Source organism: Homo sapiens, chromosome 2, assembly GCF_000001405.40.
Source record: "Homo sapiens chromosome 2, GRCh38.p14 Primary Assembly".
NCBI lineage: Eukaryota > Metazoa > Chordata > Mammalia > Primates > Hominidae > Homo > Homo sapiens.
Window position 1 is genome coordinate 140,711,454 of NC_000002.12, and position 13,214 is coordinate 140,724,667.

The window sequence follows — 13,214 nt, forward strand, 5'->3', positions numbered from 1 at the left end:
ACTAGCTTGCAGGCCTCACCGCCTGATTGGTAACTCAAAGTTAACCCATTATAACTGCCAACTTTGATCTATAACCTTTTTTCTCCTTTTTGGTACATGTTTTCTTTTTCTTTTCTTTACTACCCGTACATTATCAAGTGTTATTATTCAATGTCATATAAAATTCCTGCTTAGATTCTAGAAATCCATCCTGGCTAGTCTCATGTTGCTGGAAAATTATTTGATTCATTATTGTGGAAAATATTTGCTACAATAGCTTCAGCAAAACTTAACCTATTCACTTTTAAGCTGATAACCTTAGAAATACAGACTAGCAGCTGTGACTTTCTTCAATTTCATCAATTTAACCTCTAAAATACATTTGATCTCCGCATTCTATCTTTTCTTTCACTCCATCCCCGAAGGGGAAGAGAACTAGCACCCACCTCATTTAATCCTCCCAATTAACTAAAAGGATATAGGCATTTGAGACCAAGAAGTTTAGAAATACCTCAAAGGCAAATGTAAAAATAGTAAATGTCTAAGTGGGGATTCCAAACTGTAATGGACACCGTCTGTGCTCCATATAAACATCCTCAGATGCTGTTTACCATTTCTGAGCTCTCAAATGACCTTTGTCCCTAACAGCTCACACAGACAATTTTCTTTGGAGGATTATCCTGGGGCCACTTGAATCTCTTCTCCCACAAGTGCTGAAAGTCAGAAATTTTGAGAGTGTCTGTTTTCCCGGAGTGGTCCTTATCCACTGGCTGACTACTTGGGAATCTGAATACCAAGTTCCGTCACTGTAAGGTAAAGTTTAGACTCTAGAGTCCCTCCAGGAATCAGTCTGAGGCCAAGATTATGTTCAAAATTAAATATTTGCTTGATCTCTTTCTTCCCCTTTTCGACTGACTATGCTTTCAGGTCCTGAGTTGACTTCCCATCCTAGAATCTCTTTCTGGGATACCTAATGTAAGATACAAATCTTGCCTCCCTGCTTTCTGTCTGTGATTCCTCCTGCTCTGCCCTATTGTTTCTCCCTTGTCAAGGCTCCTCCTATGCTCCCTGGAATTTGTCTCCCCTTTACGTTCATTTCCATCCTCTTTCTTCCAACCAGTTTATTTCCCCTTTGCCTATGAATATGTGCAATATCCCCATACTAAGAAAAACCTTATACTCTACAATCTTCTCAACTTATCTTCTATTTCTCCTCTTTCCCTTCATCACCCAGTTTGCATCAGTTTATTCTGTATATGCTAGCTCCACTTTCTAATTATTCTTTTGTCTACTCTTTATATTTGGCTTCTGTCCTTACTCATCTTCTGAAATTGATAAAAATATGCAATACCATCCTCATCACCAGTTACATGTTCTGTTCTCTGCTTTTTTTCTCTCTCCTGATCTCTTTATTGCTGGCACACTGTTCTTCCTTAAACTCTCTTCCCTTGACTTTTACAGTTCAGTAATTTCCAAAGCCTCAAATGGCTGTTTTTGTTGCTGTTGTTGTTGTTGTTCTTTTTTTTCTCTCTCCTAGTCATTCTATCCCCTAACTATAAGCATTCTTCATTTTTGTTATTAGACTTCTTTTTTTGGCACTCTTTCTTGGGTAACCTCGTACACTATCGCAGCTTATTACAGAGCCTGAATTCTGTTGGAATAAGTAAGAAGTGACTTTATATTTATCCAACTACTGATTCCATGTATGCTTTACTGAGTATTTCCTCTCCAAACTTGGCTGTCTCAGAAAGATCCCATAACTTCCCAGCCAATTACCATTAAATGAACAGTATCATACAGTTAAGATTAATTTTAGAGCACATTCTCTTCCCTCTCTCCAAATTTGACCTGACTCCCTTTGGTATTGGGATTTGCAGTGAAAAAGGTATAGAATTTTTTTTTTTTTCATTTACTGCTATTTTCTCTTTATTTTAGCCTCCCTCTTACATATTTGTCTTGAGCTCTCTCCATTACTTGGCTTGAGGGAAGGGAAAGAACCCTTTTGTCTAATCCACAGGGATGATAAATTACCATTCTTAAAGATTCTTTATGTTAAAGAATGTTACAACTTCGATAAACTCACATCACAACTCTGATCTTAGCTTCTGTATGTTGTTTGAGGCCAAGGGAAGGCTGAGGAGAGAGGGTCCAGGACTGGTTTGGAGTTCACTTGGTAAACTGGAGAAGGCATGACCCTGGCAATTTTTTAAAAATATATAGGGAGTCCTACCAACAATTATACAGACCCAAGTTGTCTTCCAGACACATCACCTACTCTTCCCTATGTGTACCTCGTGTACCTACACTCTTGCTGATGGCTTTTGCTTTGTCACTACCAAATCTTTAATTATTCTATTTCTTCTTCATATAATATATACCTACCCCATCTCAGAAACCTCCTTTCCCTTGCAGCCTCCTCCACAAAGCTTCTACTAATCACTATTATTGCTGCTACCACCCTCATTTTTACTACCTGCTCTAATTATATGGTATGATTTTTGCATTAAACCCAAGATAATTTTATAGTGATCTTATGAAACTTACTACTTCAACATGACATTTGGATATGAGCTTTAAATTTGAGTTTGATCAATTAGTCTTTTATTGTGCCTGAAAATAAGTCTTTACAAAGTGACACTATTCCTTTAACTGAAATGTGTACTTGTTTGAATTTTCAGTTTAAACAGAAAACTCATTGTGAATAGAGGCAACATCTTATTCATGCCAGCATACTTCACAGTGTCTACAAGTGTCTTTCATATGTACTTGTATTTTGTCAAGATGTACTGAATTGAAGGCTGAGGATGACATGGAGGGATGCTGACATGTCCTAGCTCACAGTGCCTAGCACTCAATAAACGTTAATTGAATAAATTGATAAAAACTAGAGTATATGAAGATTCTTTTGCCTAATATTCTGAATCAAGCTAGAGACAAGTAGGTGTAGTCATAGGCTAAGATGGATGTGGAGAGATAAGAGGTACTTAAGAAAAAGAAGCTCTGGGATATCAGCTTAAGGGTCTACAATGGATTTGAATAAGAAATGAAAAGAAAATCCACAGATTGACATGTAGCAGCAAAAGGCTTGTTAAATTAAGCTGTATGAATCTATAATAGGGTAGACACAAGAGGTTCTATATAATATAAATGGACTTATTGCAACTATGAAGCAAATAAATTCTTTATTAGAAACAAACTAAACATCCATTTCCAGTGTATCTATGGGATTGCATAACTTTCAAATTATATTCCTTCTTGCCTTAGAATAATGATTCACAGTGAAGCAACTGGTCAAATTTTCTCCTTTAAGGCTATAATAATTTATTACAGCCAGGCACGGTGGCTCATGCCTGTAAGTCCAACACTGTGATTGCACCACTGCGCTCCAGCCTAGGCAACAGAATGACAGGCTGTCTCAAAAACAAACAAGAACACGTACAGCTACCAGGCAAATCAATAAATATTAGTACAAATAATGTATACAATAAAAATACTAGGTGCTTATGGGGCCATACAACAATCTAAACTATTTTCAAAGCCAAATAAGGTCAAATAAAATTTAACAAGACAAAAATATAAGAAGAGCATTGCAGGTAAAAGGAAGAGGTTGGCAAAGGCTGGAAGTGGAATAGAATAAGAAATATTTTAAAAATTAAGAGAAGACCAACAGAGATTGATTGTGAAAGGAAAAAGAGAGTAACAGGAGTTTCAGACTGAAAATTATTATAGGGTCTGATTAAGAAGGATCATAACAGAGGCTTTGGACTTTACACATAAAGCAATAGAAATTCCTTGAAAGATTTTAAGTAAGCAGATGTATATTAAAAAAAAATCACTCTAGGCTTTGGTGAGTTTAGGAGACAGACTGGGATGTTATTGCAGTATATAAGATAATATCAAATTTAATTAGGGTAAAGATAAAGATAGAGGGTGTTGGATTGCTAATAGATTTATTTAGAAGAAAAACTAAGCATAACTTGGTGGCAGATTAAATTCGTTTCAGTTTTATATATATACATTTTGGGTACTCATGAAGCATCCAGATGAAAATGTCAAAACAGTTAGTTATACTTATTTAGAACTCAAAACAAAACAAAAAAAGAAGTAAAAGGAAGGAGAAGAAAACAAAAGTTTGGGATGAACATGTTTGACAACCACAGACACATGAATGAATATTGAAATTTTAGAAATATTGGAGAGCAAAGAGGGCTATCAAATGGCTATTTTACTAATTCAATAAATAATTGAATACCTAATTATGTAAACAATTCTAAGGAAGAGATTTAAATTGAGAATCTGGAATCATGTTGGTGCCTTTATTTGGATTTACACACACATAAAATAAATCTGTAATAAATGTGACTTCATCGAATATGTACTAAATTATATGAACAAAGTGAATATAAACATTTTTTTCTGCTTAGGTAAGATATTCTTGATTTTGTCTCAGACATTACAGCTAAAAGTAATTAGTTTTTTTTCAATAGAACTTAGAAAACTCACATAAAACTTGGAAGATATACGTAAATCTTAAAATTACCCTTTCTCTGGGTGCACAGCTATAGATCTTGGTTGATCCAGGCCTTGGGAAATAATTACATAACGGAAAGAACCATTGAGTCTTGCAACTTCAATTAAGTTGAAACCATGATCTGTCCAATATATGTTACCTAGGAGAAATAATAGAGGTGTTTATAATACAGTTTTGAGAAAAAAAATGTATTTGTCATGACTAAAATTAAATTTCTGAGCATTCACATAACTATCAAGAAACTGTTTACTTCCTACATTCTTTTTAAATGTGTTTCCTAAGCAGAAAGCTGTAAATAAACTAATATGCAAATACTTTCAATCCTAATCTCACACACCTCTGGTTTAAACCATATAATGATATATTTACATGGTAAAACGAAGTTGAAACTTCTCCTACCTAAAGAAAATACCTATTTTAACTTTCTACTGACTTCAGGCAAAAGAGAACTTCTAACACTTGTTTACCTGCCTTCTGGAGCTCTCAGGAGATTTGGGCAAAGTTAACACTACATAATCTACTTCTACATAAAAAAACTTATCCAAAGGCTCAAAAACATTAGAAGGAGCGAAGCCAAAAGCAAAAGAGACTATTTACCCCTGTGGCTAGAAGTACAAATAAAAGCACTGTTATGAGTTAGAAAAGATTTTTTATGAAGCAGTTTGAGCCCCTAACAAAATAGGTGTGAAACAGAAAGATAAAAAGCCATGGATTATACCAGCAATCCAGTCAACAGCTATCCCTTCCACTCTTCCCAAGCCATTGGTAATGATATCTTCTTTCCAAGTCTGATCTCTTTTAGCTCTGCTAATTTTATTGAAGCCCATGTCTGTCCAGTAGATGGTATCATTTTCTATGGATAAGACACAGAAAAAAAATACATATACACACACTGTAAAAGGTATCAATATCGGTGTTAGGATCATATTGCAACAGTATCTTTTAGGATATCATCCTGGGTATGCTAGATTTTTAAGTATTCTTCAGGATAATTTACTAATATAAATAGTAAAAAAAAAGCATGAAAAGAACATGAAAGAACTTATATTTCAGTCAAATGATTTTTGAAGTATTTTTTGAAATATTATAGAAATAATCTATTGCATTGTTTATTGTTTTTATTAATTTCTCTACTTATTTTAACTCAATAAATCCTTATCCTGCATGAATTTGCAGCTTTGATTCCAAACCATGTTATTTTGGACCACAGTTTTTCTCTTCACAGCTATACCTATGTCTGAATCTCCTATTAAAATGAATACTACTAGGGAAAATCAACTCAACAAAACCTCAAAGTAGAGAGAGGACAGAAAGAAACATAAGAGCATTTCAATTATATCAAGAGTGTTTTAAGCATAAGGCCACTCAGAAAGTACAAAGTCTTAAAAATGCCTTATAATCCGATTATTCCTTCTAAGGTACGAGTTTCTTAAATGTCAACTACAAGACCCTTACATTATTTTTCAAACTCTCATTGTCCAAATGGGCTTGAGAATACTTGAAGAATTGTTCTATGTGATCACAGAGTCTTTATATAAGAGTACTTTTTGAATACTTGAATGAAAAATGTGTCTAAAGACTATAAATGAAATATATGTGCATGCATATGCATAAAGGGTAGTAATTACAGGCCAATGATTTTAAACACAGCCACCAGAAAGACACTGGGGAAGAATCATTAAATAATAAATTTGCCAGCAACTAAGTACGTTTTTGTGTTGCGACCTACATGGCCATTTGAAGAATAAATCCTTTAAGACCAATAAAATTTCCCTCTGGCACACTGACAGACTATGAAAATAAAGAAAATGCAATTAGTATAATAAAGCCATTTATCAGCAAGCTTTGAGGTTCTGTTTCAAATGAAATATAGTCTTTACTTTTACCAGTTCAGGAAAAGATTCCAAATAATCCCTGTTCTCAGCAATGGTTAAGTCAGACACACAATTGTTTGCAGCAGAGCAGAGATACCCTATCCAAATATATGTCTAGAAAGCAAGGATTTGTTTGATTTTCTCATTTGGTAAAAACATCAATTCACATTTTTTCATTATTGTACCAGGGAATCAATCAACAAAAATAAATCTTATTTTTGCATAAATATTAAGCATTGTATGTTGAGTCTAATTTTCTTCCCTAAACATTAGACTTATACGTCCAACTGTCTCCTTTGTTTCTCTGCTTGTTTGTAGATAAAGCAATCTTGATGTACAATGGACAAATTCTCAATGAAATATGCTTCTCCTGAAGTCTTCTGCCTGACAACTCCCCTTTCCACGGTGGTGTGATAGTTGGCACCTCCATCCTCTGTTTCTTAGACTAAAAGCATCGGGATTGTCCTGATTATGTTTGCACATGCACCACTTCTAATCAATCACCAGATACTCTCATATTTAATCCATTACCAAGCATTTTTTGTTCACTTTTTTCTTCTTTCAATACATATCTATTATCCAACCACGTCATACTGTCTACTACTTATGTTGTAACTAAACCAATAACCACTATTGCCTGAAGTCTTGCAACAGCCTTCTAATTTGTTGCCTAGCTACCACTTTTCCCTTTCCACATGAGTCTTGCTTTGCCGCTTAGAAAAGTATAGCTACAGATATACTTTTAAAATATAAATAAGTTAGAATGGAGAAATTCCCAAAGGAAAAAAAAATGTAAATAAGAATTTCTCTCCGCTGTCTCGCACCAAACTCTCTAGTCACTTCCCATCTCATCCAAGGTAAAATTAAAGTTCCTTCTCATGAGTTTCATGATCTACCAACTCCCTCCAATCCTCCCTCGCCTAATTTTCTTCCACACTTCCCCTCACTTACCCATCTCTAGTAATAGATCTTCCTGTTCCTAAAATAAAATATTCTTCAGTACAAGAGTCTTCACATATTTTTTTTTCTTTTTGTCTTGAACGTTTTTCCCCAAGATATCTCAGCTGTCTTAGCTCAAATATCCCCTTCTTATTGAAACTTTCCTGCCTATTCTACAAAAATTATTCTTTTACCATGCTCTATTCTCTCTCACCAAAATGTATTTTCCTCCGTAGCACTTATCATTATCAAACACATTATATATTTGTTGGTTTGTTTGTTGAGTGTCTCTTTTGTCTCACAGAATGTAATTTCTTTGAGGGCTGGGACTTTATTTCATTTGCTGTTTTATCCCTGGTTATCTGGAATACTTTCTGGCACATAATAAGCTCAAAGTAAGCATTTAGTGAGTAATGAGGTAATGTGATATGCTGAATAAAGACTGGTTGGGAGGCAGATACAAAGAAAACACATCTCTTGCCATAAAAATGCTTTTTAGCTCATTAAGGAACAGAAGGTATACACATGAAGAAATGGCTAACAACCAGAAATTGTGTAAGATGAGCAACATGTAAGCCATACAGGCAAGTATTTTTGCAGGAATTCAAAGAAGAAAATCAGGACAATCTTTACAATAAAAAAAAAAAGGTACCCCTTCATTTCATATTACTTTCTAATACCTTTGTCAGTACTGCAAAATTTTAGTCAATATATAATCATAAATCATTCCTTCCCATATACACCATGACATCTTGAACATATCTTTGTCATATTGAACTGAAATTGCATTTTTGCATTTCTTCCTAGAACTAGACCATTAAATATTTCATGGATAAGGACTGCATCTCACCCAAATTTTCTCAATATAGTCACATGTACTATAGGTAGTTTGTAATACTGAAGCTATCTCTAAATGGTCAAGACCATGAGATCACAGCATTGAGGAACTAACATATTTTCTCGTATCCTTTCTATTAGGTACATTTGGGAAATTGGTGAGTAAATTAATCATGTGATGATGCATTAAGGAGAACCAAGAGTATAGAAGAATTAAATCACACATTGATACCCAAATCCCTTTCCTTATCAATTTTTTCACATATATGTTGTATACCCACACAAACACACACTAGACCAAATGTTTGCTAAGATAGGAAAACATGTTTTCTAATATCTTGGAGTATCTGCAAAATAAACACAAAGTAGGTAAAGAATGTTTTAATTAGGAAAAGAATCAGGTTGAAGGAGGATAACATTTTACAACAAATTGTAAAGATACAAAATGGAGATAGTTGCAAAGATAGAAAGAGAAGATTTTCAGAACCATGTCCTGATACTTATTTCCAAATATATTTCTTAAGTACCTCCATTCAATAGATACTTATGGAATTCTTAGTTTGTGCTAAGAATTACTGTAGGCATAAAATATGGTGGTGATCTAACAGACACTATCTCTATAATCATGTAGTTTACATTCTAGAGTAAAATTAAAAATAAACTATCTTAAGACATATGGTAATTTGGTAATGTATAATATAATTACAGGATTGTAAAATAGAATTTGTAATTTAAGATAATAACAATTATAATTACATCTCTACAGATATAATAAGACAAATATGAGTCTTTGAAGCCATTTTCAAGAATTACCATATAGGGAAATCGGCAGCCAGCTATTGTGCATTATAATTATAATTAAATTCAGAATTAAAGGGAAAACCATATATTGCTACAATGATATTTATCTGTAAAACAAGGAAAGACCTTTTGACAATGAGAAATATTACATTTTTTAGTTGGGAGAAAAGTTTTCCCTGGGTATTTAGAGACTAAATCATGCAGGGTTCTGTCTGATAATAAGAAAAAGGAAATAAAAGTGTTTTAAAGATATTTCACCCTTGTCTGTATTCTTATGATTAATTAACAAACACTTGTTGACCACCTTCTGTGAAAACACTCTACTCTACGTTATTATGGGCTTTTAGGTCCTAGAAAATTCAGTTATGTTTTCTGGCATAAATGTACATTCTATTTCAGAAAACAGCATAAATATATAAAAATATGCCAGGTAAAATATAATATATATGCTTACCATGATGCTCTGTCCTAAAATAATCACCAGCACACTAGGAAGATATAATAACAGGGTAGAAAACAAGGAGTCTAGGGCTGGGTTCTTATCACTGTTCTGCATTTACCATGAACATTTCACAAAGTTGCTTTTTCTTCATCCCCCATTTTCCTCATATATAAATATGAATAAAAATATAAATATATTCATGTAAAAAGTACATCTATGTATTTAAATAACAGAAGGCAGAATTTAGATAACCTTTAGGATCTCTTCTGGCTATGATCTTCTAATGCTTTTATTTTTCGCTTGCACATAAAGGGAATACAATATCTCAATGTATGGTCCAATTTTAGCTGTTATGAAGATCTTCTTTTTCCCCTGTAGTTTTTGTTCACTTTAATTAGCTCTGTTTGTCTGATTCTAAAAATGATAAAGCATATGATTTTTCCCAGAACATGCTACTCGTGGCTTTTATGTCACATTTCTTTTTAAACTACAGGACTTTACATTTATCCTATTAAATGTCAGCTTGTTAAATGGGATCATGGATCCTGCCTGTTGACATTTAAAAAAATTATATGTTATACAATGAAACTTTGTTGTGATATCCACAAATTTGATATGTAGGTTTTCTTCATCTTGATTCAAGCTAGTGATAAATGTGTTGAATTGGATCAAAGATGCACTTTTTTTTTTTTTTTTTTTTTTTTTTTTTGAGAAGGAGTTTCACTCTGTCGCCCAGCCTGGAGTGCAGTGGTGCGATCTTGGCTCACTGCAAGCTCCGCCTCCCAGGTTCATGCCATTCTCCTGCCTCAGCCTCCTGAGTAGCTGGGAATACAGGCGCCCACCAGCACACCCGGCTATTTTTTTTTTTTTTTTTGTATTTTTAGTAAAAACGAGGTAGCACCATGTTAGCCAGGATGGTCTCGATCTCCTGACCTCGTGATCCGTCCACCTCGGCTTTTGACATACCGCAGGAGACTTCCCTCTGAGGCAAATTGTTTCCCTTTTTGTCATGCCTTAGTAATTTATAATGTATATATATTTAAGTATATAAATTTTAAGTGTACAGTTTGATGAACTTTTACATATGGAACACAACCATGTAACCACTACCTTGATCAAGATATAGATCACTGATAGCATCACACAGACTCCTCTGTGTCTTCTGGGAGTATCTCTTCTCTTCCCCTGTGGGCAGCCGCTATTTTGACTTCTACTACCTTAGATTAGTTTTCTTTAAAATGTTTTGATAAATGGTAAATTACAGTATGTACTCTTTGGCCTGTTCTTTCATTCAAAATTATGACCATTAGATTCATCTTTTCTGTTGAAAGTGTCTTCCTTTTCCATGGTGTGAAAATGCCACAAATTATTTATCCATTTTGAACATTGAGGTTATGTTCAATTTCTGTCTGTTACAACTAATGCTATGAAAATTCTTTATTTTCCATGTCTTAGAAGAGACATACACTATCATTTCTACTGGATACCTACCCGGAGGTAAAATTGCTGAGATATATGAGTGATACCTTTAGTAGATAGGGTTTATTTTAATGCATTAATTATCTCAATGCTCTCCTAATTAAGAATCTAGAATCTATACTTTTTTCAACTATTGTTGAACTCTACTCTCCCCTTCATATCTGGCTAATTCAACCATTAATACCTCTTAGTACAGTTGGACAGGCCAGAAATTCTGAATATTCTCTTATTTTCAGAAACTAGTTCAACATGCTTATCTACCTTGGCTGATAGTGCTCACTTTACCAGATAAGGGGCAAATGAGCAGCTTCAAATAAGCAATGACTTTAGAATGTAAAGCTTCCCTTTACTGTTTAATAATAAGTTGTTTATTAGTAGTAAAATTAGTAATAAAAGCAAGATAAACTATTATTAAATAGTAAAGGGGACCGGGCGCAGTGGCTCACGCCTGTAATCCCAACACTTTGGGAGGCCGAGGCAGGAGGATCACGAGGTCAGGAGATCGAAACCATCCTGGCTAACATGGTGAAACTCCATCTCTACTAAAAATACAAAAAATTAGCCGGGCATGTTGGCGGGCGCCTGTATTCCCAGCTACTCGGGAGGCTGAGACAGGAGAATGGTGTAAACCCGGGAGGCAGTGATTGCAGTGAGCCGAGATCGCGCCACTGCACTCCAGCCTGGGTGACAGAGCGAGACTCTGTCTCAAAAAATAAATAAATAAAATGAAATAAAATAGTAAAGGGAAGTTTATCATTTCATCTTCTTCATCAATGCTAAGAGTGTTTGAGAGAGGAAAATCCCAAGATACTTGCTTTTTTGATGAGTCTTTTATAAATATCATGTGTATAAAAGGTGTATATTTTGGGTCAGTTCTCATGAATTGTCAAGCTTTAGTCCTTTGGTCTGAGAATCTGGGAGGAAAAATAAATATGACGAACAACCACAACTCTGTTAAAAATAATTATATCCAACTTTAACTTTGGGAACATCAAAAACTTGTAAACATCCCTAGTTCATCTTCTTCTTATTATTATTCAAATAGTAGCAAGTGCAACATGGGCAAGGAAAAAATTTTGAAGATGAAAAGACTTTGAGAATTATTGACTATTGAATTAAGAGGAGTCATCAAGAAAGTTAAAGAAAGAAAGAGAGGAGAAGGGAAGGGAACACATTTCTCCGTTTTTATCATTGTCATAGCCATATCCATTTAAATTATGTTAGCATAATTTAAAGGGGAATATTAGGGATATGAGAAGAGTGAGATGAACTAAGGAGCTTTGAAAAAGATTTTTCTTAAAATTCTGTAACTGTAAATTGAGGGAGAAGGTTCTTACATTAATATTATCTCTTGTTGCCATATGGCCAATAATTTGAAACAAGTTTTATCTGCACTAAGTATAAATGTGGCTTTATTCTAGATCTGGCACCTAACTTGAGAATAACTGTCGGATAGCAAAAAGTATATTAGCATAGTTGGTGAGGCTACTAATATTAGAAGTTAGCACCACAATTTATTAAAGATGAGTCTCATTACAAACTTTTTTTACCTTTAAAAACAAAACAAGAAGGAGAACAACAACAACTATATAACCTTCTGCCATAAACAGTTCCTTCCAGGAGGGTCTGAGGTTGGCTGTTAGATCTGGTAATGAGGACTGATTCTTGTACACAGTTCCTAAAATGATAATTTGGTGAATGAGGTCAGGGAAGATGAGAATCTGGTTGACATCTAGGAGACTTACTTTCCCTAGGTTTATTAGCTAACAAAATTGTGCAAATTTTGTAGATAAACGGATTCTTTCGTAATAAGTTCCGGTAATCTTTTCTTAGAGTTTATATACAATTCATTAAGAAGCTCAAGTTTGTCTGGGCACAGTGGCTCAAGCCTGCAATCCCAGCGCTTTGGAAGGCCAAGAAGGGAGGATTGCTTGAAACCAGGAGTTTGAGACAAGCCTGGGCAACACAGCAATACTTCATCTCTATAAAAAAATAAATAATAATTTTTAAAAGAACCTCAAATTAGATATACAGAACAAAAAATAATTTAAGGATAGTTCCAATTTATGAACAATAAAATTTACAAGTTTATGTTTAGCTTATCTAATTTATTTACTTCCATTTTATTGGATCTATTAAACCCTATTCCATATTTTAAAAATAAAGACAACAGTGCTCTATCCCAAAATTATGTGTTAAATTGCAAAAAATTCTATATAAAGTGTGTTTCAATTTCTTCATAAACTTCAGATTTGGGTTCTACAGGATGTAGCTATTATATGTGACTATTACACTATTTTCAGTTAATGTAGTCTTTATTCCCTTGTAGAGA

General features: G+C 34.1%; 1 protein-coding gene across 4 annotated transcripts in view; it reads right to left on the minus strand.

Moving 5' to 3' along the window:
• The window catches only part of LRP1B (LDL receptor related protein 1B), a 1,899,594-nt gene that overhangs the window by 480,031 nt on the left and 1,406,349 nt on the right, over positions 1 to 13,214 (minus strand). For all 4 annotated transcript variants that reach the window (NM_018557.3, XM_017004341.2, XM_017004342.1 and 1 more), the window contains 2 exons: positions 5,229 to 5,363; positions 4,520 to 4,649 (listed from right to left, as the gene is read on the minus strand). In NM_018557.3, the coding sequence (NP_061027.2) occupies positions 4,520 to 4,649; positions 5,229 to 5,363 (265 nt within the window). The remainder of the gene's footprint in view (positions 1 to 4,519; positions 4,650 to 5,228; positions 5,364 to 13,214) is intronic.